Source organism: Homo sapiens, chromosome 3, assembly GCF_000001405.40.
Source record: "Homo sapiens chromosome 3, GRCh38.p14 Primary Assembly".
In the NCBI taxonomy this organism is placed as follows: Eukaryota; Metazoa; Chordata; class Mammalia; order Primates; family Hominidae; genus Homo; species Homo sapiens.
The window spans coordinates 49,828,601-49,856,577 of NC_000003.12; the positions used below are offsets into that span (position 1 = coordinate 49,828,601).

The 27,977-nt window shown below is 49.8% G+C and overlaps 1 protein-coding gene across 4 annotated transcripts; it reads right to left on the minus strand.

Annotated features, from left to right (window-relative positions):
- On the minus strand, window positions 1-27,964 carry TRAIP (TRAF interacting protein). Of its 4 annotated transcripts, NM_005879.3 has the most exons (15): window positions 27,756-27,964; window positions 19,543-19,600; window positions 18,925-19,008; window positions 15,941-15,980; window positions 15,201-15,328; window positions 13,853-13,947; window positions 13,226-13,339; window positions 12,385-12,472; window positions 11,684-11,773; window positions 11,172-11,260; window positions 3,316-3,468; window positions 1,420-1,468; window positions 1,017-1,166; window positions 858-908; window positions 1-625 (listed from the first exon to the last, which is right to left on the minus strand). In NM_005879.3, the coding sequence occupies exons 1-15, from the start codon at window positions 27,851-27,853 to the stop codon at window positions 503-505; spliced, it is 1,410 nt and encodes a 469-aa protein (NP_005870.2). In that variant the 5' UTR covers window positions 27,854-27,964; the 3' UTR covers window positions 1-502. The 4 variants fall into 4 exon arrangements, 3 of the variants coding, with proteins under 3 accessions (NP_005870.2, XP_016861015.1, XP_047303196.1); XM_017005526.2 differs by lacking the exons at window positions 12,385-12,472; window positions 13,226-13,339; window positions 13,853-13,947; XR_007094382.1 differs by lacking the exons at window positions 1-625; window positions 858-908; window positions 1,017-1,166; window positions 1,420-1,468 and adding an exon at window positions 4,347-4,440 and having other exon boundaries at window positions 3,382-3,468.

Consider the following 27,977-nt stretch of genomic DNA (forward strand, 5'->3'; position numbering starts at 1 on the left):
TTGTTTTTTTTTTTTAATTTTATTTTACATGAAAATCTTCCATCCTCTCCATACATCCCATGCTATCCTCCATTCCCCACCCTGCTTGGCCCAGGCTATGCCTAGAAGCAAGTCAAAGGCAGGTAGAAGCTTGGGCTGAGGCTGCCTGAGATGCCTCAAGCACTCTGGTCCACAGAGACAGTCAACAAGTGACCGTGGTCTCCAGGCCCAGAAAGAGTCTGACCACATCTGATCATGGCTATAAACAGGAGCCTGGCAACAGGAGCAGGACCTGCTGACAGGATCAGTGGGCTGGTCATGTCAGCTCCCAGTCGTAGGAGTGGGGCAGGGTGAGGGCAGGAAGAGCAGTCTCTGGGTGCCACACTCACCCTCACCTGTTTGTCTGCCCTTACACCTCAGGCTGGTCCCGAAAGTGGGGCTCTGTCCACAAAACCCCTGCCTGGACAGTCCTTGACCTACAAGTTGCAGGCATGTGTCTGGCCATTGGTCAGACTCACTGTTCTCACGACCACAGGAAGGTGTCCAGCTTGGCCTGGAAGAGAGAAGGCACTGTCTTCACCCTCACCCTCTGCTTAACCTTGGTCTTGGGCTTAACAGGCAATGGGCGGATCATGACTGTGTCAGTCTGGAGGAGCTGTCAAGGAAGAGGCATGGAGAAAGGACTGCAATGCAGGGCGAGAAAGGACTGCAATGCAGGGCAAGAAAGGCTCAGAGCCGGGGGTGGGCGGCGCTGATACACAGAATGAGGCCCAGCACTGCACACCTGAGGCTGTTGGCACTGGCAGGCTGGGGGTATAGGTGAGGCATAGTATGGGCTCCACAGTTCAGCTCAGCTCAACATCACAGGAAAAGGATACAGGCTGGATGAATTTTGTCCGGCCACCGAGCCCATCGAAGCCTGTCCTTACCTAGGGTGGAAGGAAGAGATGAGTGGGCCAGGCTAATGGGCTGGGGGGCTGGCCACCCATTTCTACCCAAGAGGGCTGGCTCCTGCCACTGTGGGAAGCCACACTCACCACATCTTTGCTGCAAGAGGACTCTGACCTGGGCCTCTTGGGCTGTTTCTGGCCTAGGATGGCATTCCGGACAAAAATAGGGAAGGCACCAACCAGTTCCTCATCTGGCTCTCCTGCACAGCTCTGGCCACCCAGTGAGAGCTGGGACTCCTGCAGGGAAGACCCCAGGGCCAGACTTGATGAGCTGGATGTCAGCAAAGGAGGGAGGGTAGTGGTGGTGGAACAAGATCAGGATCTCTGATGCCTCACTAGGAGGCAGGAGGGATAATGAGTAGAATCCCAAGGGTGGCTCCGAAGTACCTCAGTCCTGGACCAGGAGTGACAAGGCTCTGGCAAGACCGTGCCCTCCCAAAAGTCCAGTCCTGCCAAAGGTTAGACTGTGCTTCTTCTAGAAAGCTCTTACCTTCCTGGGGCCTTTGCATATCTTCTTGGGGACATCCTGAATTGGGGAGCTACAAGAATGAGAGAGAAGGCAAGGGGTAGGTAAGCAAGACATGGGGGCAGGTGAACCAGGCTCAGCACACGCCCCTTGGGGAGTTACCATGTGGCACTGCTGCTGCCATGCCTGCATTCTGGGCAAGGCACCTCAGTGATCCCACCCCAAGTGCAGGTCTGTTAACAGCTGGACAGCCACAGCCAGTAGGGTGGCAGAGACAGGGATGACTGGGGATGACTGGACCATGTCCCAATCCTGTGGCTTCCACTCAAGGCCAAATTCCAACGCTCCTCAAGTCCTCGGGCACCTCACCATGTCCCAGGCTCTATATGGGGCTGAAGAGCCCAATCAACTCACCACCCACGGGAGGAAAGCCAGTCATGCCCTGATACGAGCAAAAGAAATTTAATGAGCTCAGGCCTAGTCCTGTCTTCCCAGAGAGGGGACACTACCTCCACGAGAGCCTCAGTAAGTTAGCCTTTCAGTAAAGTAGCCCACAAAATCCTCTCAGAACACAGGGCCAAGCCATCTCCCTAGAGAGTGTGTCTAAGAAGGGCCTGGGGCAGAATAGCGCATGGCCCCAGGCCCTGGTCTCCCAATCCCAGCCCCAGAGCCAGAAACTGTATTTCCATCCAATTCCTGGGGAACCCAGCAGCTGGATACCCTCTCCTGGCATTTTCCCTGGTGGGTGAGAAGATGGTGATCTAAGGCTGGCCCTGTGGCTTCTCAAGCCATAAGGACAAGAGTGGGATCAGGGCCTGATGACTGACTCCTCTGCTCCTGCCCTAACGGCCTGTGGTAAGGCTACATGACAACCAAGGCTCCAGGAAGGACGAGCTGAGTTAGGGACTCAGAACTTCACTACCTCCTTCACTACCTCCACAGGCCATGAAGGTGGTGGAAATGTCTCTGAAAGGCCTGGCAGCCTGAAGACCCCAGGTGTCCACCTTCAACCTTTACAGCGGAAGAAGGGCAATGGGAGGAAGCCAGAGTACACAGCAGACACTGACAGGATCCCTGAGGACTACAGCCCACGGGTCCTAGGTTTGTTTCTCATTGCTACCAGGCCTCGCCCTCTACAACAGGGGTGCCCATGCCCCCTGAGGTTTGGGAGGTAGGACAGCCCAGCTGGCTTGCCCTCTTGCTCCCTTCCACCTCCACTGTCTAGCATCTCAGTTTCTTTCTCTTTCTCTTCTTTCTCTCTGTACAAAGTCTTTGAAAAAGAGGAAACCTGCCCAGCCCTTGACCAGCCTCACCTGAACAGTACCTGTATGAATGAGTATAGTCCTTGTCTCCACAGTGAATTACACTTGGCAAAGCTGGCCAAGGAGACAGCCTCCCTTTTTCTGGTCCCACCGTACCCCAGAGCAGGTTCCACCTGCCCCACTGGAATTCCAGACAGCTTCTCATGCTTGCCCCTGTGGGTCACCCCCTTGGGTGGTAAGGCCTTGGGCTCTGTGGTTTGAGATGATCCTCCCTCAGGCATGAGCCTCAGAGGCAAACATAGAAGAGGAAGTTCAGAGTCCCTCGCTCAGGACTCTGGTGGGCAGGCCTTCAAGGTATTGGGAGCACCCTCTCCAGCCCAGACCCACCCCTTCTGGCATCACTGCATTCTCTCTAACTTGCATTCCAATACGTTTGCCTTGAAAGGTGATGGTGAGGAATAATGAGAAAAGAGAAGGGGTTTGCACAGATTGAGTGCTCAGGTGAGGGAACAAGAGGTAGCTGGAACCAAAGCCATGGCCAAGCCTAGGCAACCCTCACTGCCCCATCAGCCACTCAGAGCTAACAGCACAGGGCCTGCAGAGCTGTCTTAGCTATCCCCCTACCAGCCCATGGACAGTGCCAGCGACTATCACTCACTGTGACTTCTCTAGGCAAAGTTTTTCGTAGTAACCATGCTGGGAGCTGGAGGGCCGGGCTGGGGGAGTATCCACATCAAAGGTAGCATTGAGATCAATATCATCACGGAAGGATGGCCGGCGGAGCTTCAGATTCACCTCCACAGGGGCTGGGCTGAAGGCAGAGATGACCTGGTTACTTGGGGCCACAGTGGTAACCCAGGACAACAGCTCCTGAAGCATCAGAGATAACTCAGCTCCAGGGACCTGGAGCCCACTCCTGACTCAAGGCCACCCCTCAAGAGAGCCCTACTCTCGGCCAGGCACAGTGGCTCACGCCTGTAATCCCAGCACTTTGGGAGGCCAAGGCGGGTGGATCAAGCGGTCAAGAGATCAAGACCACCCGGGCTAACATGGTGAAACCCCATCCTACTAAAAATACAAAAATTAGCTGGGTGTGGTGGCTTGTGTCTGTAGTCCCAGCTACTCGGGAGGCTGAGGCAGGAGAATTGCTTGAACTCGGGAGGCAGAGCTTGCGGTGAGCCGAGATCGCGCCACTGCACTCCAGCCTGGGCGACAGAGCAAGACTCCGTCTCAGGAAAAAAAAAAAAAAAAGTTTAAATTTAATTTAATTTAAAAAGCACACAAAACTCCATGTATAGTGCAATTACATGATTTGGCACCCCCCCACCACTCCCACATGCAGAAAAAGGAGAAGGAAATATTCCACATGTCAACCATAAGTACCTCTATGATAACTCCCTATTTTCCAAATTCTCAATGAGTGTGTTTTTACTTTTATAACACGGGGGGGGGGGGGGGGTGGGGGGTGGGGAGTGAAGTTTTATTCTATTAAAACTACAGCCGACAGGATTCTTCCAGCCCACCCAGACCTGGCAGGGCTCCCCACCTCCTGTCATACAAGGAGAACCCTGGGGAATGGCAAGGGTAGCTCCAAAGATGCCTTCTCTCTTTCCTTCCTCAGGAACTTTTCAGAGCTGCACCACAATCCCACTTCCACTGGGGTGTACACATCAGAGGGAGGAAGCCTACCTGCATTGATTTGGGTGGCTAAGCAATCCAGGCAGCCTGGACTATTTCTTCCTTTCCCTGTCCAGGACCCTAGAAGCTCTACCTCTGTCCCCGCCTGCAAGTTAAAATGAAGACTGCACAAACCCACCTCAAACCAACTCTAGGCTGGCTGCTTTGCTTCCTCCTCTGGGAACCACAGCAGCCAGGACCACTCATGCCAACTTTTTTGCAGTATCCATATTCTGCCACCATTTACCAACCCCAGCAAGTTGAGGCTCAGGTTAGGAAAGGTAAACTCAAGAGGAAGGCAGGATCTCGCTGGGTCCTGTAAATTTTACCCTCCAGGTGGCTCAAGGCAGGACTTTCTACTCCCAGCCATCCCCTAAGGCGTTGCCTAGTGGTGCCCAAGCTCAAGGCAAGCCAGGCTTATTCACTTGCACCTCCTGGTCATCCACAACACTAAACTCAAGACTCAGGAGGTTCTCACGGTGCCTCCCTCACTCCCCATATCCACATCTGGATCATATGGACACATTTCTTCCTCTCTTAGACTGTTTCTTTTTTTTTTTTTTGAGACGGAATCTTGCTCTGTCACCCAGGCTGGAGTGCAGTGGTGCGATCTCGGCTCACTGCAAGCTCCGCCTTCCGGGTTCAAGCCATTCTCCTGCCTCAGCCTCCTGAGTAGCTGGGGCTACAGGCGCCCGCCACCACGCCCAGCTAATTTTTTGTATTTTTAGTAGAGATGGGGTTACACCGTGTTAGCCAGGATGGTCTCGCTCTCCTGACCTCGTGATCTGCCCACCTCGGCCTCCCAAAGTGCTGGTATTACAGGCATGAGCCACCGCGCCCGGCCTTGTCTTAGACTGTTTCTATATTCTTCTTCCTTCATGAGCTTGAAGCCTATTTCCCTTTCTGCCAGGGGTCCACTTTCTTTCCTTCCCACTTTCTGTTTGTCCTACAAGGAGAAAGAACCTAGGGCTTAGTAGTCCTTCCCTCACTGGTTGAGGCTGGCTTGAGGCCCTCCTGAGTGACACTATCACCCTTGGGACACCCACCCATGGTCAAGTTACAGGGCTTCATGCCAGAGGCCTCAGGGAGCCAGGCAAGACACTCAAAGCTCCCCTTTCCAGAACAGAGCTAAGGCCTTGAGCAGCCCATTGCCTGCGTGGCATGGGATTAGTCAACATCTCCTCCATGAACTCATGGCTCCTGGCGGCCTTACCCTACCCTAAGGAAAGGTCTCCCTGGCTGTCTCTAGCCTGGAGTTCAGGGGCCCTTGGGGCCCATGAGAGAGATCTTCCTAACATTGACTCTGTAGTTGGGGGTGGTGGCTACATGCTGATGCCTCCCTAAAATGACAGGTATGAAGGGTAATCCTACTGCAACAAGTAGAAGGGGCAACCACCATCAGCCCCCAGAGATTTCCAAAAAATTCTGGGAGACAAAGCATGGCCAGGGGACAAGAGACTGACACAGCAGCCAGAACCCACAAGGAGGGGGTCCATGAAGGAAAGGGAGGGCCTTGCAAAAGCATTAAACAGGCCTGAAAACTGGAACACTGATGAAATTGTGAGCTTGGCTCCACCCCATCCTAATCTGCATTGGTAGAACACTAGGCAGTTAGGCTGCTGCCCTGGGCCAATAAATAGAAGAGCTTTTCTCAAAGACACTAAACAAACTATGTACAATGACCTAGGGCAGCCAATATTATTGGACCCAACAGTAAAGCCTTCTGCATCCTGGGTTCAGGTAAGACTCAACATGATGCCAGCAGTCTGCACATCCCCCCCAAACCCTACCCACATAGGTTGGCCTCCAAAGTAGCCAAGGACCACCAGGTATGGGAGGGGAGCCCAGGAAAAAGTCCATGGTGCACAAATACTGACTCTGAGACAAACAGAAATATGAGACCATAAAACAAGAACATGATGCTTTGCAAAACAGACATACTCAAAGAGCAAGAAAGAATGCTTGCAAATTTAAAACATGAATACTGCCAGGCACAGTAGCTCACGCCTGTAATACCAACAATTTGGGAGGCTGAGGTGGGAGGATGGCTTGAGGCCAGGAGTTCAATACTGACCTGGGCAACATATTAAGACTCTATCTCTACAAAAAATAAAATTAAATAAATTAACTGGGCATTGTGGCACATGCCTGTAATCTCAGCTACTTGGAAGGCTGAGGTGGGAGGATCCCTTGAACCCAGGGGGTGGAGGTTGCAGTGAGCCGAGATCGTGCCACTGCACTCCAGCCTGGGCAACAGAGCAAGACCCTGTCTCAAAAAAAAATTAAATATGATTACTGATTCAGCCCTAAAAAGGAAGAAAATTCTAATACATGCTACATGGATAAACCTTGAAGACATTATGCTAAGTGAAATAAGCCAGTAATAAAAGGACAAATATTGTATGAGTCCACTTATATGAGGCTCCTAAAGTAGTCAAATTGATAGAGACAGAAAGAATGGTAAGTGAAGGAGCTGAGGAGAAAGGGGAAAGGGGAGTTATTGTTTAATGGGTATAGAATTTCACTTTGGGAAGATGAAAACATTCTGGAGTGGGATGGTGGTGATGGTTGCACAGCAATTAAATGTACTTGATGCCACAGAAATGTACTTAAAAATGGTTACAATGGTGAGTTTTGTTTATATTTTACTACAATAAAAAATACTGCTGCAGTAAAAAGTTATAAAAATTAAGAAGCTTCTTAAAAAACTTAAGAAACTTCTTGGCCGGGCACGGTGGCGCACACCTGTAATCCCAGCACTTTGGGAGGCCGAGGTGGGTGGATCACAAGGTCAGGAGATGGAGACCATCCTGGCTAACACGGTGAAACCCTGTCTCTACTAAAAATACAAAAAATTAGCCGGGCGTGGTGGCGGGCACCTGTAGTCCCAGCTACTCGGGAGGCTGAGGCAGGAGAATAGCGTGAACCGGGGAGGCGGAGCTTGAAGTGAGCCGAGATCGTGCCACTGCACTCCAGCCTGGGCTACAGAGCAAGACTCCATCTCAAAAAAAAAAAAAAAATTCTTAATTTTTTTTTGTTTTTGTTTTTGCGACAGTCTCGCTCTGTCATCCAGGCTGGAGTACAGTAGCACGATTCTGGCTCACTGCAACCTCCACCTCCCAGATTCAAGCCATTCTTGTGCATCAGCCTCCCAAGTAGCTGGGATTATAGGCGTGTACCACCACACCTGGCTAATTTTTGTATTTTTAGTACAGCCACCATATCCAGCCAGAGATTTATTAATTTTCCTAATTTTAAATTAAGAAATGGTGGTGGCTGGGTGTGGTGGCTCACACCTATAATCCCAGCACTTTGGGAGGCCGAGGTGGGAAGATCACTTGAGATCAGGAATTAAAGACCAGCCTGGCCAACATGGTGAAGCCCCATCTCTACTAAAAATACAAAAAACTAGCTGGGCATGGTGGTGCGTGCCTATAATCCCAGCTACTGGGGAGGTTGAGGCAGGAGAATCTCTTCAACCGGGAAGCGGAGGTTGCAGCGAGCCAAGATTGCACCACTGTACTCCAGCCTAGGCAACAGAGCAAGACACTGTTTCAAAAAAAAGAAAAGAAAAGAAAAGGAAAAAGAAAAAGAAAAAGCAAAGCAAAGCAAAGCAAAGCAAAGCGGTGGCTCACGCCTGTAACCCAGCACTTTGGGAAGCCCAGGCAGGAGGATCGCTTGAGGCCAGGAGTTCAAGACCAGCCTGGACAATAAGTGAGACCCTGCCTCTACAAAAAATTAGTTGGGCGTGGTGGTGCATGCCTGTAGTCAATCCCAGCCACTCAGGAGATTGAGGCAGGAGGACCACTTGAGCCCAGGAGGTGGAGCTGCTATGAGAACAGTGAAAATTTACTGAAGTTTACCAGCTTCTTCATCACCCTCTCCCCTGGATACTGGAAATGTTCTACTAGACCAGATTTCCAAAGTGGTTGCTTCAGATGGTTTCAACCAGATCAACTGTTGCCATGGAGAGATGGATTCCTGGAGCTTTCTACTCTTCCATCTTCCTTGACATGACTTTTTTTTTTTTTTTTTTTTTTTTGAGACAGGTCTCACTCTGTCGCCCAGACTAGAGTGCAGTGGCGTGATCATCACTTACTGCAGTCTTGACCTCCCAGGCTCAAGTGATCCTCTCACCTCAGCCTCCCGAGTAGGTGGCCCAAGAAAACTTAAGACTTCTTCCAGACCTCTGTAGTAACACATTAGCAGTCACAGGAGAAAGGTAGAGGCAGAGTCTTTGAGGTCACTTGTAGTTCTGAGGGTCTTGCCATCAGAACACAAAGAAGACAGGGCAATGCCGTTGCTGAGGATTCAACAACTATTTTTGAGAGTTTGAGGCTATGAGTTTAGAAGAGGCTGTGCCTAGGCTGGGCATGGTGGCTCACGCTCGTAATCCCAGCACTTTAGTCCCAGCTACCCAGGAGGCTGAGGCAGGATCACATCACCTGAGCCCAGGAGGTTGAGGCTGCAGTGAGCTGTGATCACACCACTGCACTCCAGCCTGGGCAACAGAATGAGGCCCTATCTCAAAACAAACAAACCAACAAACAAACCAACAAACAAACACAAGAATAGACTGTGCTGGTGCTGCCTAATGCCTAGTTAAAAGAAGGGCTTTTGCTAAAAACAAACAGACCTGCCACCGTAATTTTTTTTTGTTTTTGCTTGAGACGGAGTCTCTCTGTCACCCAGGCTGGAGTGCAGTGGCACGATCTCGGCTCACTGCAACCTCTACCTCCCAGGGTCAAGCGATTGTCCTGCCTCAACCTCTCAAGTAACTGGGATTACAGGCGCCTGCCACCACACCCAGCTAATTTTTCTATTTTTAGTAGAGACGGGGTTTCACCATATTGGTCAGGCTGGTCTCGAACTCCTGACCTCAGGTGATCCACTCACCTCAGCCTCCCAAAGTGCTGGGGCTACAGGTGTGAGCCACCACGCCCGGACTTTTTTTTTTTTTCCAAGAGAGACGGGGTCTTACTCTGTCTCCCAGGCTGGAGTGCAGTGGCACAATCATAGCTCGACTCTTGGGCTCAAGTGATCCTCCTGCCTTGGCCTCCTGAGTAACTAGAACTACAAGTGTGTGCCACCATGCTTGGCTAAGTTTTAAGTTTTTTGATACAGGGTCTCACTATGTTGCCCAGGCTGGTCTTGAACTCCTGGACTCAAGCAATCCTCCCACCTTGGCCTCCCAAAGCACTGAGATTACAGGTATGAGTCAATGCACCCAGCCAACCACTTCAATATTTATGCCCAGAAAAATACTGGAGACAAAAATGAATGAAGTCATCCTCATGTGGCTTGATGAGAAGCCCAGCCCAGCTTACAGAAGAAGGCTTGTCAAGTTTAGTGTCCTGCTGGCCTGAAAGCCAAGGGAGACCATTGCTGTCCTCCCTGTACCAAGATGGGCTGCAGGCCCTGGCATGAAGCTTACTCAGAATGAGGTGGGCCCGTCCCCAACTGGGAGCTACAGACCAGATTCTATAATGTAGTATATAGCTGGTTGGCTGTGGGCTTAGCCATCTAAGCTCCAAGCTCATCTATCCCACTGGAACATAAGCTCCAAGAGAACAGAGAAGGTCTGCCATGCAGTGGGCACTCATCAAGGACCTGCTGTAGGAGTCCAGGCCTTCCAGCACCCTGAAGAGGTAAAGAAAGTAAACAAAAGCAACCAGGCACGGTGGCTCACACCTGTAATCCCAGCACTTTGGGAGGCCCAAGTGGGCAGATTGCTTGAGGTCAGGAGTTCAAGACCAGCCTGGCCAACATGGTGAAACCCGTCTCTGCCAAAACATACAAAAATTAGCTGGGCATGGTGACACATGCCTGTAATCCCAGCTACTCAGGAGGTTGAGGCAGGAGAATCGCTTGAACCTGGGAGGCGGAGGTTGCAGTGAGCCGAGATCGCACCACTGTACTCCAGTCTGGGAAACAGAGTGAGACTCCATCTAAAAAAAAAAAAGATTAAAGACTGGGCTGGGCGCAGTGGCTCACGCCTGTAATCCCAGCACATTGGGAGGCCGAGGCAGGTGGCTCACGAGGTCAGGAGATCGAGACCATCCTGGCCAACATGGTGAAACCCCGTCTCTACTAAAATACAAAAAATTAGCCAGGCGTGGTGGTGCGCGCCTGTAATCCCAGCTACTCAGGAGGCTGAGGCAGGAGAATTGTTTGAATCCAGGAGGCAGAGATTGCAGTGAGCCGAGATAGTGCCACTGCACTCCAGCCTGGCAACAGAGTAAGACTCCATTAAAAAAAGAAAAAGGAAAAAAAAAAAAAAGACTGGGGCCACTGACAGGAGTTGTGTGCTTTCTGTCTGGGTCCTTGCTGGGGACTTTTGGCAGGCAGGAGGTAGCCTTGAGGATGCTCTCAGCTAGTCTGCTTCTGTGAAACTCTCAGGAGCAGAAATGGATGCCCATGCTTGCAGGGACACCAATCCTTCTGCCTCGTGGCTCCCTCTGCTGGCAGCTTTAAAGCACGCACTCCTGGCACTAAGGGAATTATTTTACAGTGGTTTCATATTTGTTTCAAAATCTGGGGTGGACAGATAAATGTGGGGAGCTACTCCATAAACAGGATGCCCCAAGACAGTCAGTGCTTCTGCCCTATTCTCAGACCACTTCTAGGTCCTCTGGCCTTCTCTGGCCTCTCCGTGTCAGAGCCTAATTTGCTTCAAGGCTGCTTGCCAGCTAAATCTTGGCTGGCTCCCAGGGCAGGCTGTCTGCAGACATCAGGTCCACAGAGGTCACCCACCCCACCAAAGCCAGGAGGAGTAAAGACTGTTACCAGAAAGCTCTCCCACCTTGTGACCCCTGTACCGCCCAAGGCTCAACAAACCTCTCTAAAACCAGGCGGTCGACAGTCTCACTGGCCACTGGTGGCAGGTTCAAGGTTTCCTGCAGCATCGTTAGCTTCTTTTTCAGGCTCTTGGGGAGGGAAAGAAAAGTGTGTGAGAGAAAGGCTGAGGCATCAAGTCCGGAGATAATGCAGAGGACATGAGCAGCATGCATGAAAGGCCAGCCCACTGGGAACAGAGCAAGGCCTGATACCTCATCATTAGGCTCAGGAGGCCAAGCCCCAGGTAGAGCCCCTCCTCTGATAAGGGACCTCAGGGATGTAAGTGCAGGACAGACTATGAGGGAAGACTCATGGTTCTGTCTGCCCTCTGTTGAGGAGGCCCAGGCTCCAGTCCGGACCAGGGCCAAGGGGCACACCCTGACCCAGGAGGATGCAGGGGCCCAGAACCACCACTGACTGGTGCAAGGGTCCTGGGCAGAGATAGCCCAGCCCTGCTCTGGGAGGGCACACAAACCACCCCTCATTCCTGTCAAGCCAGGGATGTCCCTCACCATGATTTCCTTGTCAGCACTCTGTAAGTCCTTCTGGGCTGACTTCAGTTCTAACTTGGCCTGATCCAATTCAGAGTAGACTGTCTGCAACTATAAGAAAGTGTAGGGAATGAAAGACAAGCCAAGTGGTAGCCTTGTGCCCTGCCCCCTCCTGCTGCTCCCCAGGGAGTGATCAAGGTAGCCCAGAAGAGACTAGAGATATGGGCAGAGATCCCAGCTCTCTGAGGCTAGGCCTCAGTCTGGCAATGCACATCCGGAGCTGCCTAGAAGCAAAGGCTGCTTCCTACATCCTGCAGCCTGTGGATGCACCATGCCAGAAGTAAAAGCAGCTGTGCTGACCGAATCAGGTTCCAGGAGCCCTTCTACTCCAGATGTGGTACAAAAATAGGCCTCTGATGCTGTCACATTTGAGGCCTGTGCTCTCCAGCCAGCTGAGAGGTACCCAGGAGCCAGGAAGAGCAGAGGGGAGCATCAGTGTCCACATGTTGGGGGATACCTCTGTGATCTGTCCACCCCTAGTGGACAAGCCACATATTCAGGCCAATGCCCAGTAAGGACTGGTAACAAATTTCTGTAAGTCCTCCAGCTGCCCCAGGGAGTCAGCTGTGCCATCAGGTCCCATGGCCTTGCTCAGGAGACCAGAGTGAACATGACAAAAGGAGAGCCACTTCTCCTTCAACCTCTGTTCACTGCTAAGTTACCTTGCTTCTGGAGGAAAACAAATCCTTCCTCAGCTTGTCAGCCACCTCCCCTGAGGCCTTCCGTGCCTCTTTTAGATTCTCGTACTCTCTGCAATGTGGCCATGGAAAGAGATGCCAGAAAAGAACACCTGCAGGTCAGACTGAGCCACAGCACTAATCTAACACAAAGCACTGCCCAACCCCTCAACTCACTCTCATTCCTACTTTGACACCTGAGCCCAACAAGTACCAGGTGGCACTGTGGAGGGTCCTGCAGAGAATGCAAGGAAGTGACTATTTCCTCCTGCCTGTCCTGCAGGCACTGGTGACTTGAGAGGGCATGCAGAAAGCCCCAGTCTCACTAGGGGGCTCCCTAAACCACCTGGTCTTAAAGGAGGCATCTTGGACCCTCTATGCCTCTCAGCTAAGTGGCCCTCCACCCTTCCTGCCAACCTTACACCCACCAGAGTGAAGAATATGAGTAGAGTTTGATCCCAGCCAGGCAGGATCATAGTGCTAATGGGGAACAGGCTCTACATATCAATCACAATGGGGCTTATAGCCCAGAGAGCTAGGTCAACTCCCTTAGAAACAGCACTTAAGATTCACACTAAATCCTCAACAATCCTATGAGGCAGGTCTACTACTATTTCCATTCAGGAAGTTGAGGGTCAAAGAGGCCAAGAAACTGGCAGCAGGCCACATAGTTGCTGAAAGGTGGAATCAGGGTTCAAACAAAGGCAGCATGGCTCCAGAGTTTGCCCCTTAGTTCCATCTGCTTTACAAGAGATGGGGAGCAATGACACGGCTGGGGCCCCATGGCCTATCTCCTGTGTTTGCTGAGAGGGGCCACAGTACGCACTTCTTGAGAGACACACAGTACACAGCCAGCTGTTCCACCGCTGACTGTCCCACACCCATGTCTCGGATCATCTCCTCCACCTCAGGGCGCTGGCTCTGGAGTAGAAGCTCAATCCTGAAAAATACACCCAGCCCACGGCATTTGCAATCTGGAGGCTGATGGGTAGGTACCCAGTGCCGCTCTGCCTTCCTTTGCTGCCGTTGCTAAGGTAACAGGCTAGGCTGCCAGGATGCTTTAGTAGGTGGGTGTGCCCAAGGAAAGGCCCTGTGGCAGAGATGAGCATAGCTCCAAGGATGCTGCTGAGAAAGAAGAGGTGCTGAAAGAGGGTCTCAAGGTCAGGGATTTCCTGGAGAGAGGTTTCTGGAAGGAAAGACCCACCAGGTCATCTGGCCACAGGCAGCAGAGACAGGGAGGAATGTGGCAAGGGCTCCCATTCCTTGGAATGGGGGAAGAGTTCATAGAGGCTAAGATCTGTGCCCACACCCAGCTGACCTGAGCCCTCCATGGCCTATGGAGATTTGAGCCTCGGACATGACCCAATCCCACTCCCTGCTGCAGTCCTAAGAACTGTACCACTTGCAGGCCCTGGGGGCAAAGGCACAGTGCAGGACCCAGCTCCAAACTCACTGCTCCATGGTCTTCATCTTGCTCCTGAGCCGGCGGGCCTCCTCTTGTGCTTGTTTGGTCTCATCCTGCTGCTGCTCTAAGTACTTCATCTGCTTCTGAAGAGCAAATACACCCATACCTGATGCTTGGAGGCCCTCAGGAGCCATTGCTAAAGTCACTAGGAAAACTCTGCTCCAGAACTCTCTGCAGCTTATGTTTTGAAAATGCTGATAACCATGTACTCCCAAACCCCAGGAGGTAAAGCTCCTGGGTCCCACTCTCGCTTGTGCTTCTTCTTCTAAAAGGCTCTAAGCCAGCTGCTTCTTCACCTCCCTGCCTGCTTCCTCCTGAAAGGTATCTTACAGTAGACACAGCCCACTGCCAGCATTTACAGGCCCACTGTGGGCTGCCAAGGTCCAGTGGTCTGGGCCTCATGGTACATGTTGTGCAGGTGGCTGAAGAAGTCCAGAGCACAAACCCAGGCCTCACCATCCAACACCCAGACCCATGGACAGTTGCCAAGAATGAATAATTGAGCCAGGGGAAGCTGGCCAGGCTGCCTTCAGCCTAAGACCACTTGTCTCTGACCTGAGAATACCATGAGAGACTCCTGCTCTGCAGCCAGGTGCCAGTTTGCTCCCTCCCACCAGCCAGACCATGTGATCCAGCCCAGCCCCCAAGCAGGAACAGAGACAATGAATATCCTGGGGCCTTGTCTGTTCACAAGGATGGCTCCCTTTCCCTTTCAAATGGCATCCAGCAAGGACTGCTCCTGCCTACAAGGCCAGAATATCAATCGTGGGTTCAGATCAATCGCCTCTCATGCCCCTTGGAGAGCAAGAGGCTCACCAACCCAGGCTGATGCAAAATTCATCTGGGTCTAAGGCTGTTCACTCTGCAGACTTTGATCTGGTTGGTCAGCTCAGCACAGCTGACTTCAAAGGCCCTTGCTCCTCCCTAGGATGCTGTTTGATCTGGCTCAGGAGAGCAGCCCAGCCAAGGACTAGAGTGCTAATGGAAGGTTCTTCAGGCTGGCCTCATCAGTAGAGTATGAACCACTTTCGGAAATATGGCCCAGCCTCACTGAGGTCTTAGTTGAGCATCCCCTCTGTGAGGTACTGGGAAGGCCTTGACTCTTCAAACTACCTAGTACAAAACCCACAAGTATAGCCAATATGGCCCTTTTCTTATGGGATGGATGGGTACAGTATGGAAGGGCAAGGGGAAGAAGTGATTTGCCTCTATTTTACAACTCCCCAAACCAAGGTGATGACTGGAGCAGAACCAGAAGATAAGCCCAGAATGGGGAGTCCAGTTCTGGGGCAATACCTCCCTATGAATTCTGTACCCATAAAACCTGAGGACCTACTTTCAGTGTGGAGCACAGCATCTCGGCCTTGCCCAAGGCCTGCTGCAGAGATACCACAGTAGCATTGCGTTCTTCCAGCGTATCCCGCAGAGTGTCGATGATGACCTGGCTGTCTCGTTTCTCCTTGTCTGGAGCAGGGGTAGAGGGCGGAGGAAAGGGAAAGGCCTGTCCATCCATCAGCAGAAGAACTTGGGCCCTTGGATTCAGTGCCTCATCCCTTAGGCAGGTGAGAAACAAGGCTCAGGCCTGAAAGCTGGGTGGCCCGCTTCTTTCTCTGGGATGTGCCAAACCAGAGAAGCTGAGCCAGAGCCTTCATTCAGGGAAAAGCCCACCTTCTGCTGCTTGAACTACTTAGGAAAATATTTTACTGCCCATTCCCTACCTGCCATGGGTCCAGTTAGTTCATCAACCCAGGACTCAAGCAGGTTCCAGCCAAACTCAGCAGCTGAGCCCTCTCCCGAAGATATTCAGTCCCATCAGGTAACCCCCTCCCATCTTGGTTCCTGGGCAAGAAGCTGCACTCAGAGACAAGAGGCTCACCTGGTCTAGGTGAACAGCTTCAGTCACCTCCCTTCCCTCTCTTTTTCTGCCCACCACAACAGCTAGCAGGACTCTTGGACATACAAAGCAGGGAAAGGCCCTGGCTCTCCCAAACGGTTTGAAACCTTCCTCCTAGGGCCCCCTTCCTCCAGCATCCAAGTCAGGGGCTTCCCAGCACCCCTCGTCTCTTGCTAACTCACCTTTCTGGGAAAGCTGGGCTCTGACATTGTCCAGTTCATTCTGAAAGGCAATACCCACAATAAGCAGCAGGAAAGCATCATAGCTGACCTCCACGTGGTCTCCCATAAGGCTGTGGGGAGCCCCAGGATTGAACAATGAGGCCTTCTAGGGCATGAATCCTGCAGTGCCTCAAGGCCAAGCTAAGCTAACAATGGAAAGATAAGCACTGCTGTAGCTCTATGTGCCCTTTTGAAAAGTAGGTAAGATGGAGGAAAACAATCTCAGGGGCAAGGCCCCAGGACAGGTAAAGAGGTAGAATAGTGGAAGGGAAGTTAAAGTAGGGCCCCTGTGATCAGTCTCCATAGCAGAAGTTTCTATCACTTCCTTGGCCTCATCGCTCTATGTTGGTCTCATTCCCTCTGGGCATCAGCTGACTCACCAGGGACACACAATAGGAATGGCCAAGGACCTTGGGCGACTACTCCTCCTCTCCACCCTGGGTCTTCCTGATTCATAGTCGACTTTCCTCCAAGCTCTGAACTGGCTCTGTGTACCACAAACCTTCCAGACCTAGTATCCAATGGAGGTAGCTATGCCAGGACAGCTTTGTACCCCTGGATGAAACCTCCCATGTGTCTAGTCTCTAACTAGACTATTGTGAGGATCAAGTGAGCCTCTCAAAGCCCCTGCAAATGTTTCACAGCCATGCCACAGAATCATTGAGAAGCTGTGGCAGAATTGAACCCAGTTCCTGTTCAGGATGCCACAGAACTCAACATCCCCATGAGCAAGAGAGGTGCCTGCTCCATAACAAAGAAATCCAAGGTTTTACAAAACTGAAACGCTTGACCAAGGGTCCATGGTGGTAGCTAGATGGAATCCAGGCAAACCTTACTGTAGATCACTTGTCTAAGATCAACAGAAGACTCAGAATTTCACATGTGACCAATAGTATGGCCCAGGCCCAGTGGGTAAACAAGCCCCTACTGTCAAACTCTCCACCTAGGACTCTGGGGGCAAGAGCTTCTGGTGGCTGGGCTGGTTAGCATAGGCTGAACAGCTGGGAGTGGAGGTGGTGGGTAAGGAAGAGCACGCAAGGGCTGCCTGAGAACAGATACCAGGACATGGCTGCTGCACCACTACCCATAGTCCCCTGACTTCTTCCACACTCCAGCAGGGGCTTCCAAGCCCTTGCTCCAAACTACCCAAGATGTTGCTACCTGTCTCACAAACCTGGCTTTGAAAGCTGGAAATAAATGAAACTGCCTTTGTTGCCTTCATCACAGGGAAGACACTACTTAAAACTGGGAGCAGTTACCATGACGATGAACATGCTTGCTCTAAGCACAAAAGCTCCATGTTCCTGAAGCAGTGAGGTTCCAAGGACATCATGACACCCTGGGGCCAGAGCCAAATGAACTCTGATCTGACAGATATCCAGCAAATTAACCCTCAGAGTCCAGGGATCATTTGTGAACCCAAATCCAACTTCCTCAAGAGTTCTCTGCCAACGCAGCCTGCTTGCACACAAAAAAAGCTAAATTTTAGATTAGGAGGGGAAGCAGTTAGACGTATAGGAGGGAAACTACCCACTTTCCCCTAATATATCCATTCCCACCTGAGCTGCAACTCTTGATTCCAAGAGCTCTGGTCTGGGGAAGGCCCAGGCATCTGACTTTATACCAAGCTCCCTAGGCAATTTTTTTTCTTTTAACTTTTTTTATTTAATAGAGATGGGGTCCCATGTTGCTCAGGCTGGTCTTGAACTCCTGGGCTCAAGTGATCTGCCCACCTTGGTCACCCAAAGTGCTGGGATTACAGGTGTGAGCCATCACGCCCAGCCTCCCCAGGCAATTTTGAGGCACAGGCAGGCTAGGGAACACTGAATCCAAAAATCTCCCGTGGCTGGGGAGTAGAAGAGTTTTCTAATCTGTCACTAACTGTCCAAGCAGCAAAGTAGGCTGTACAGGATGGCTGTAGGTTCTTTAAAAGATGAGGAGACAAGACCGCAGGAGAGAATTCAGGTTGGAATTGACCTGAAATCCCAAAGGGAGGGTTTACAGTCAAGCAGCTCCCCTCTTCCCTCACAGTGCATTTCTCTGATGACTGTGTCTCATCAGTTGTCCTCTGATTTTTGTGTCCCCACCTTGAAAACTGTACCAAGTCTCACCTCTATAACTTCATCTCCATATTCCAGGAACCCTCCACTTATGTGGAAATAGAAAGTGAACTCCCAGGCCAGGCACAGTGGCTCATGCCTGTAATCTCAGCCCTTTGGGAGGCCAAGGTGGGAGGATTGCTCGAGCCCAAGAGTTCAAGACCAGCCTGGGTAACATAGCAAGGCCCTATCTCTATAAAAATTTTTTTTTATAAATTAGGGCTGGGCACGGTGGCCCACGCCTGCAATCTCAGCACTTTGGGAGGCCGAGGTGGGTGGATCACTTCAGGTCAGGAGTTCGAGACCAGCCTGGCCAACAAGGTGAAACCCCGTCTGTACTAAAAACACAAAACTAGCCGGGTATGGTGGCACGTGCCTGTAGTCCCAGCTACTCGGGAGGCTGAAGCAGGAGAATTGTTTTAACCTAGGAGGCAGAGGTTGCAGTGAGCCAAGATCACGCCACTACACTCCAGCCTGGGTGACAGAGTGAGACTTCATCTCAAAATAAATAAATAAATAAATAAATAAATAAATAAATAAATAAAATAAAAAAATTAACCGAGCATGGTGGTGCACCCCTACAGTCCTAGCTACTAGGTAGGCTGAGGTGGGGAGATCCCTTGAACTCAGGAGTTTGAGGTTATAGTGAGCTATGATTGCACCACTGCACTCCAGTGTGGGCAACAAAGTAAGACCCTGTCTCTAAAAAAAGAAAAGAAAAGAAAAGAAAAGAAAAGAGAAAAGAGAAGAGAAGAGAAGAGAAGAGAAAAAAGAAAAGAAAAGAAAAAAGAAAAGTGAACTCGCACAAGGCTTGGAGTTCAGTAGAATCAGATAAATTCTGGGTACCTTTAAGAATTCTGCATCCAAGACATTCTCCTCCTCCTGGGCAAGATCAAAGAAGAGCTTATTGATAATGGTTCTTTTGCCAACCTGGATGGGAGAACAAGGTAAGAGTATGATTGTGTAGCTGGGTCATGCGCAAGGAGGAGAGTGTTGTACATGGGTCTGACTACCTGCCTGACATGCATGTCAGGCCTGTTCTCAGACCTAATTTTTCAAAGTACATCCTTTAGAGTCAAAAGACCTCTTTACTCCTGCAGGTACCCCAAGTTGGGGCTGCTGGTTTCGTGGTCACTGAAGTCATATTACTACAGACCTACACGGTTAAGTGCTCAAAAGATACCTGAACTCTAGGTGCGGAGTCACTGATGAAAAGACAGGGAAGGAGGCCAGCCAAATCTACCCAAGTGAAAACTGGCCCAGGCAACAAGTCCATCTGCCAGCTACCTGTGGGTGTAAGCAGACCTCCCAAACACTCAAGGGCACAAGTGAGGCTCAACTGGCCTTAAACCAGGAGGGTCCAAAAAAGGTCAGAGATATTGCAGTTTCAGAGCTCTTTTCACATTCCTGCTCTCTGCTAAGGAGATCTCTTCAGTTGAGGTGGTCCCACCCCAATACTCTCACCTGGATTCGGCACTGTGGGCAGGTCCGACTTGGTGCTGTCTCAAACCACTGAATTAGGCTGGAATGAAAAGCAGAACAATAGACTGATGAGCCCTGGTTTGTCTGGGGACATAAGCCAGGCAAACATTCTGACCACGAAAGGGTCTGTTCTGCTCCTCCTTGACCCAATGCCTGCCCAAATAAGAGGACAGTAGCATAGGCAGTTACAGCACCTCCCGCAAGGCCTGATGGGTACTCAGGACTCCAACCAGCTGGCCCTTTTTTTGGCCCTGTTGGCTTGGCCAAAAGCTGTCCTTTAGGCAACATTCTGGGCTTTGACTGGGGTTGGGAGAGATGATAGTCGAAGCTCAGGGGCCCTCAGAGATGAGGACTCTGATAACACCCCCATTTTAAGCTGGAATCCCAAAGACTACACTTTCAAGGTAAGGATCAACCAGAAATAAAAGTAAGTAAGGGTACAAAAATAAAGTTAGATATAAGGAATAAAATCTAGTATTTGATAGCACAACAGAGTGACTACAGTCAACAATAATCTACTGTACATTTTAAAGTAACTAAAAGAATAGGAATGTTTGTAACACAAAAAAATGATAAATGCTTGAGGTGATGGCTACTCTGTTTACCCTGAAGTGATTATTACAGTGTATCCCTGCATCAAAATATCTCATAAACCCAATAAATATGTATACCTACTATGTACTCATAACTTTTTTTTTTTTTTTGAGGTGGAGTCTTGCTCTGTCGCCCAGGCTGGAGTGCAGTGGCACGATCTTGGTTCACTGCAAACTCCGCCTCCTTGGTTCAAACGATTCTCCTACCTCAGCCTCCCAGGTAGCTGGGATTACAGGCATGCGCGACCACGCCCAGCTAATTTTTGTTTTTAGTAGAGACAGGGTTTCACCATGTTGGCCAGGCTGGTCTTGAACTCCTGACCTCAAGTGATCCACCTGCCTCAGCCTCCCAAAGTGCTGGGATTACAGGTATGAGCCACCATACCCAGCCATAAAATTTTTTTAAATTAAATTTTTTGTTTTTTTGTTTTTTACAGAATAGAGGCAGGGTCTCACTGTGCTGCCCAAGCTGGTCTCAACTCCTGAGCTTAAGTGCTCCTCCCACCTCAGCCTCCCAAAGTGCTGGAACTATTGGTATAAGCCACTGTGCCCAATCAAAAAAATTTTTTTAATTAAAAAAAAAAAAGAGTGGCCGGGCGCAGTGGCTCACGCCTGTAATCCCAGCACTTTGGGAGGCCGAGGCGGGCAGATCACAAGGTCAGGAGATTGAGACCATCCTGACTAACATGGTGAAACTCCATCTCTACTAAAAATACAAAACATTAGCCGGACGTGGTGGCAGGCACCTGTAGTCCCAGCTACTCGGGAGGCTGAGGCAGGAGAATGGTGTGAACCTGGGAGGCGGAGATTGCAGTGAGCTGAGATTGTGCCACTACACTCCAGCCTGGGCGACAGAGCGAGACTCCATCTCAAAAAAAAAAGTAAGTAGTGGTAAAAGCAAAACACAGCTGAGCTTTGCATCATCTATGCAGGTGGTCCAGCAAAGCTCAAGCCTTAAACTTTAATTAGTCTCCTACTAGTAGACTCCCCTACTCCTAGGGACCAGGGAGAAACTAAGTCCTCTCTGGAAAATGATACCATCATCCTGGCCTCAAAGATTCCTATAAGTACATTTTCTTTTCTTTTCTTTTTTTTTTTTTTTTTTTTTTTTGAGATGGGGTCTCAATCTGTCACCCAGGCTGGAGCGCAGTGGTGTGATCTTGGCTTACTGCAACCTTCGCCTCCCAGGCTCGAGCAATCCTCCCACCTCAGCCTCCCGAGTAGCTGGGACCACAGGCGTGCACCACCATGCCCAGCTAAAATTCCCATAAGTTTTCAAATACCATGTACAACATATAATCAAGAGTAACCAGGCGCAGTGGAATACTACACAGCAAGAATAAATGAGTCTACAGCTAAGAACAATATTATGAATAAATCACAAAAACATAACACTGAGGAAGAGAAGCCAGATACAAAAAGTTATATTTTGTATGATTCTATTTACACAGTTTAAAAGTAGGCAGGCCAGGCCCAGTGGCTCACGTCTGTAATCCCAGCACTTTGGGAGGTCGAGGCGGGTGGATCATCAGGTCAGAAGTTTGAGACCAGCCTGACCAACATGGTGAAACCCCGTCTCTACTAAAAATAGAAAAATTAGCCGGGTGTGGTGGCGCACGCCTGTAATCCCAGCTACTTGGGAGACTAAGGCAGAAGAATCGTTTGAACCTGGGAGGTGGAGGTTGCAGTGAGCCGAGATCACGCCACTGCACTCCAGCGTGAGGGACATAGTGAGACTCTGTCTCAAAAAAAAAAAAAGTAGGCAAAATTCATCTATGCTCTCAAAGTCAAGACAGTAGCTATCTTAATATGGGGAGGTGGAGGGAGGTGTTGGTAGGGGTTGGAAGAGCATATAAGGAGGTTTCTAGAAGGTTTCTAGAGCTGATAATAGTCTGCATTTTTTTTTTTTTTTTTTTTTTGAGACAGAGTCTTGCTCTGTCAGCCAGGCTGGAGTTCAGTGGCACGATCTCGGCTCACTGCAACCTCCACCTCCCAGGTTCAAGCAATTCTCCTGCCTCAGCCTCCCGAGTAGCTGGGGTTACGGGTGCACGCCACCATGCCCAGCTCATTTTTATATTTTTTTAGTAGAGACAGGGTTTCACCATGTTGGCCAGGCTGCTCTCAAACTCCTGATCCACCCGCCTCGGACTCCCAAAATGCTGGGATTACAGGCATGAGCCACCATGCCCGGCCAATAGCCTGCGTTTTCCTGTTTTCTTTTTTTTTTTTGGTGGGGGGACTTTCGAGACAGGGTCTCACTCTGTCACCCAGGCTGGAATGCAGTAAAGCAATCATGGCTCACAGCTGACTCTACCTCCCAGGCTCAGGTGATGATCACCTCAGCATCCTGGGTAGCTGGGACCACAGGCACATGCCACTATGCTCGGCTAATTTTCTGTGTTTTTAGTAGAGATTTCATCATGTTGCTCAGGCTGTTCTAGAACTTCTGGGCTCAAGCAATCTGCCTACCTCAGCCTCCCAAAGTGCTGGGATCACAGGCGTGAATCAACACGCCCAGCCATACCCTGTTTCTTGATCTGAATTCTGGCTGCATAGATATGTTCAATTTGTAAACATTCTGTAAGCCATATACTTAGAATATGTGTACTTTTCTGAACTATATTATACTTCAATTTTAAAATGTTCTTTTTTTGAAATGGGGTCTCACTCTGTCATCCAGGCTGGAGTGCAGCAGCACAATCATGAGTCACTGCAGCCTCAACCTCCCAGGCTCAAGCGATCCTCCTGCCTCAGCCTTGCAAGTAGTTGGGACTGCAGGCACAGGCCATCATGCCCAGGTAATTTATATTTTTTTCACTTTTTTGTAGAGATGGGGTGTCACTGTGTTGCCCAGACTGGTCTTGGACCCCTGGGCTCAAGCAATCCAGCCACCTCCCAAAGTGCTGGGATTAAAGGGGTGAGCCATCATGCCTAGCCAAAAAAACACTTTTTTTTTTTTTTAAGACTGAGTCTCGCTCTGTCACCCAGGCGGGAGTGCAGTGGTGCAATCTCGGCTCACTGCAACCTCCACCTCCTGAGTTCAAGCGATTCTCCTGCCTCAGCCTTCCAAGTAGCTGGGACTAGAGGCGCCCGCCACCATGCCCGGCTAATTTTTTTGTATTTTTAGTAAAGACGGGGTTTCACCATGTTAGCCAGGATGGTCTCGATCTCCTGACCTCGTGATCCACCAGCCTCGGCCTCCCAAAGTGCTGGGATTACAGTTGTGAGCCACCGCGCCCAGCCAAAAAAACATTTTTTTAAGTAAACAGGTACACAAGAAAAAAAAGCACTATGAAAACAAACCAGAAGAAATGCCCACAAAGACTTTAGGTAGGCCAGGTGCAGTGGCTCACGCCTGTAATCCCAGCACTTTGGGAGGCCGAGGCGGGCAGATCACGAGGTCAGGAGTTCAAGACCAGCCTGGCCAACATGGTGAAACCCCGTCTCTACTAAAAATACAAAAATTAGCCAGGCACGGTGGCGAGCGCCTGTAATCCCAGCTACTCGGGAGGTTGACGCAGGAGAATTGCTTGAACCCAGGAGGTGGAGGTTGCAGTGAGCCGAGATCGGACCATTGCACTCCAGCCTGGGTGACAGAGCGAGACTCTACCTCAAAAATAAATAATAACACAGGATAAAAAAGTTAATGGAATAGAGGCAATATATGAAGAGATAATGGCTGATAATTTTCCAGAACTGATTAAAGAAATTGCTCCACACGGCCAGGCGCGGTGGCTCACGCCTGTAATCCCAGCACTTTGGGAGGCCGAGGCAGGCAGATCATGAGGTCAGGAGATCAAGACCATCCTGACTAACACAGTGAAACCCCATCTCTACTAAAAATACAAAAAATTAGCTGGGCATGGTGGCAGGCGCCTGTAGTCCCAGCTACTCGGGAGGCTGAGGCAGGAGAATGGCGTGAACCCGGGAGGCAGAGCTTGCAGTGAGCCAAGATCGTGCCACTGCACTCCAGCCTGGGTGACACAGCGAGACTCCGTCTCAAAAAAAAAAGAAAGAAAGAAAGAAATTGCTCTACACGTTAAAGAAATCTAATGAATCCCGAGCAGAATTTGTAAAAAGAAATTCGGCCAGGCACAATGGCTCATGGCTGTAATCCCGGCACTTTGGGAGACCAAGGTGGGAAGATCACCTGAGGTCAGGAGTTCGAGACCAGCCTGGCCAACATGGTGAAACCCTGTCTCTGCTACAAGTACAAAATTTAGCCGGGCATGATGACACGTGCCTTTAGTCCCAGCTACTCGGGAGGCTGAGGCAGGAGAATTGCTTGAACCAGGGAGGTGGAGGTTGCAGTGAGTTGAGATTGTCCCACTGTGCTCCAGCCTGGGCAACAGAGCAAGACTCTGTCTCAAAAAAAAAAAAAAGAAAAGAAAAAGGTAAAAAGAAATTCATATTGGATACACTATACCAAAACTGCAGAAAGCCAAAATCAGAGAAAATTCTAAAGGTAATGAGAGTCTGAGGATAAAGTTCCAAAGTATGCTTAAAGGAGTAACTGATAAACTAAAATCTGACTTCAATAGCTACAACGGAAGCTAGAAGTTGGATAAGGGCCGAGTGTGGTGGCTCACACCTGTATTCCCAGCACTTTGGAAGGCCAAGGCAGGAGGATTGCTTTAGGCCAGGAGTTTGAGACCAGCCTGGCTAACATAGCGAGACCTTGTCTCTAAAAACAATAATAAAATAAAATAAAATAAAACAGATGAAAAAAGATATACCATGCAGTCACCAAAAGACAGCTGAAGTGGCTATACTAATAGCAGATAAAATGGACTTTAAATTAGACAAGATAGGCCAGGCACGGTAGCTCACGCCTGTAATCCCAGCACTTTGGGAGGCCGAGGTGGGCGGATCACGAGGTCAGGAGTTTGAGACCAGTCTGGCCAACATAGTGAAACTCTGCCTCTACTAAAAATACAAAAAAAATTAGCCAGGCACAGTGGTGTGTGCCTGTAATCCCAGCTACTCGGGAGGCTGAGGTAGGAGAATCACGTGAACCCAAGAGGCAGAGGTTGCAGTGAGCCAAGATTGCGCCACTGCACTCCAGTCTGGGCCACAGAACGAGACTCCATCTCAAAAAAAAAATTAGGCAAGACAGACTTTGAATTAAAGTTACAAGAGACAAAGAAGGACAAAGAAGAACATTTAAAAAAAGTTCAATCCTGCAAGAAGAAACAATTATAAACTCCAGCCTGGGCGACACAGCACGATCCTGTTTCAAAAAAAAAAAAAAATTATTCCAAACAAAAACTTTACTTAAAAACATACAATTGGCCGGTCGTGGTGGCTCATGCCTGTAAACCCCAGCACTTTGGCAGGCCAAGGAGGGTGGATCACTTGAGTACAGGAGTTTCAAACCAGCCTGGGCAGCATGGCGAAATCCTGTCTCTACAAAAAACAAAAATTAGCTGGGCATGGTGACATGCACCTGTAGTCCCAGCTAGTTGTGAGGCTGAGGCAGGAGGATCGCTTGAGTCCAGGAGGTCAAGGCTGCAGTGAGCAGAGATTGTACCACTGCAGACCAGCTTGGGCAAGAGAGCAGGACTCTGTCTCAAAAATAACACCAACGAAAAAAATACCACACATACACACAATTAAAATATTCAACAATAACGTAGAAGTGGGAAAAGAATGTTAGTATTCTAAGCTCTTTGAGTTGCCTGGGAAAATGAGAAAGGTGTTGATTAACCTTGAAATTGGTAAGTTAAGGATACATACCTTAATTTCTAGGATAACCACTTATAAATGGAAATGGGGTATATAACGACCCAACTAACTGAGGGAAAAATGGAGAAATACAGAATATTTAACCAATTCCTACCAAGGCAAGAAAGGAGACAATAAGATATAATAGGCAAGGCAAAACAGAATCGACTAAAGACAATATGTTTACTCTTTATTTAATCAGTAATTGCAACAATTTTAAGTAGACTAAATGGTCCAGTTAAATACAAAGATTATCAGACTGGATTTTTAAAAGTCCAACTAAATGTTGTTTTCCAAGGCTGGGTGCGGTGGTTCACACCTGTAATCCTAGCACTTTGGGAGGCAGAGGTGGGTGGATTACTTGAGTCCAGGGGTTCAAGACCAGCCTGGGCAACATAGCAAGACCCCATCTCTACTAAAAATACAAAAAAAAAAAAATAGTCAAGCATGGTGGCAGGCGCCTGTAGTCCCAGCTACTTGGGAGGCTAAGATGGGAGAATCACCTTAGCCCAGGAGGTAGAGGCTGCAGTGAGCCGAGATGGCACCACTGCACTGCAGCCTGTGTAACAGAGTGAGACCCTGTCTCAAAATAAAATAAAATAAAGATCTTTGCAGTAAGCTAAAGTACTTTTTAATATACAAAAAAAGAAATAAATGCTGTTTCAAGGGATACATGTAAAACACAAGGACACAGAAAAGTTTAAAGTAAAAGGATAGGCCCTAGCACTTTGAGAGGCCAAGGTGGGTGGATCACCTGAAGTCAGGAGTTCGAGACCAGCCTGGCCAACATGGAGAAACCCTGTCTATGAAAAACACAAAAATTAGCTGGGCGTGGTGGCGCACGCCTGTAATGTCAGCTACTTGGGAGGCTGAGGAAGGAGAATCACTTGAACTCAGGAGGTGGAGGTTGCAGTGAGCCGAGATCACGCCACTGCACTCCAGCCTACACGACAGGAGCGAGACTCCATCTCAAAAATAAAATAAAATAAAAATAAATAAATAAAGTAAAAGGATAGAAGAAAATAGAGTAGGCAAACAGAAAATAGAGTACGCTTAGAGGCGAGCTTAATTTCTAGTCTAACCAAACAGCAGTGGCTCCCTCAGCATGGGGCTCAGGCTGTCAGCAACACAGGCCTAAACAAAGCTTTGCAAGTAAGCCAGCAGCCATCAGTGTCATGCCTGCCTTTCTGCTTCCTAGGGCCTTTAGCCCCACAAGACCCTGTGATTATTATCACCCACCATTCCCAGGGGTAACGCTGCCTTATCTCTTTTGCTAGGAGGTCCAAACCGGCCTGTCCACATCTGCTAGGGGAATCTTTCCCCACTAGCTGTACACTCAACAGAATGGCCCTACACGGTCAGCAGGACCCCTGGATAGGGGAGCATCTCCTTGCCTTCCCCATGTTAAACGGGTTTGCTGACATGGCGAATACATTGGGGTGTCTGGACAGTGAGATGACTCTGGGTAGAATAATTCCAAACCATCAAGTAAGGCACAGCAAACTCTCTTGGGTAGCCAGAAGCCTAGCAGGTTTCTATCTGGAAGAAATAAAAGGACTTGTTGATGTGGTGAAAGCTCACCCTTGCCCAGGCTAACGGTTTTGAAATCACATCTGTTTGTATAGGTGATCAAGGAAGCATCTATCTTCACTGAGCCATCTTAGTCCCCCTCAGGCTTAGCTCAGCTATCACCTCTACCAGAAAGCCTGTCCTGACCCACTTCTGCCCAGGTTGGGAAGCTCCCGTGGGGCCTCGTCTAGGAGGAAGGTTCTCATCACTTGTCTGGATTCCGGGGTTGGACCGCCTGGAGGCCCAACACCTCAAGGCCCTGAAGCGGTACCCGGGCAAACACCGGGCCCCAACACTGCAGTCACTCACCACTGCAAGTGGAAGGTGTGGCCGCAGTGGATGGCGGCCACGTCGCGGGAGTGATCGAAGAAGTCGGAGCAGATAGTGCACAGAGCACGGATAGGCATGATGGCTGGACTCAAGGGGCCCAGGCAGCCAAAGAAACTGCTACAGGTCCGGCTTCGTAGACGCGCCCCCGCGCCTCCGCTTGCTTCAAATTTGGCTCCGCAGCACGACTTCCTGGAGCGGGCC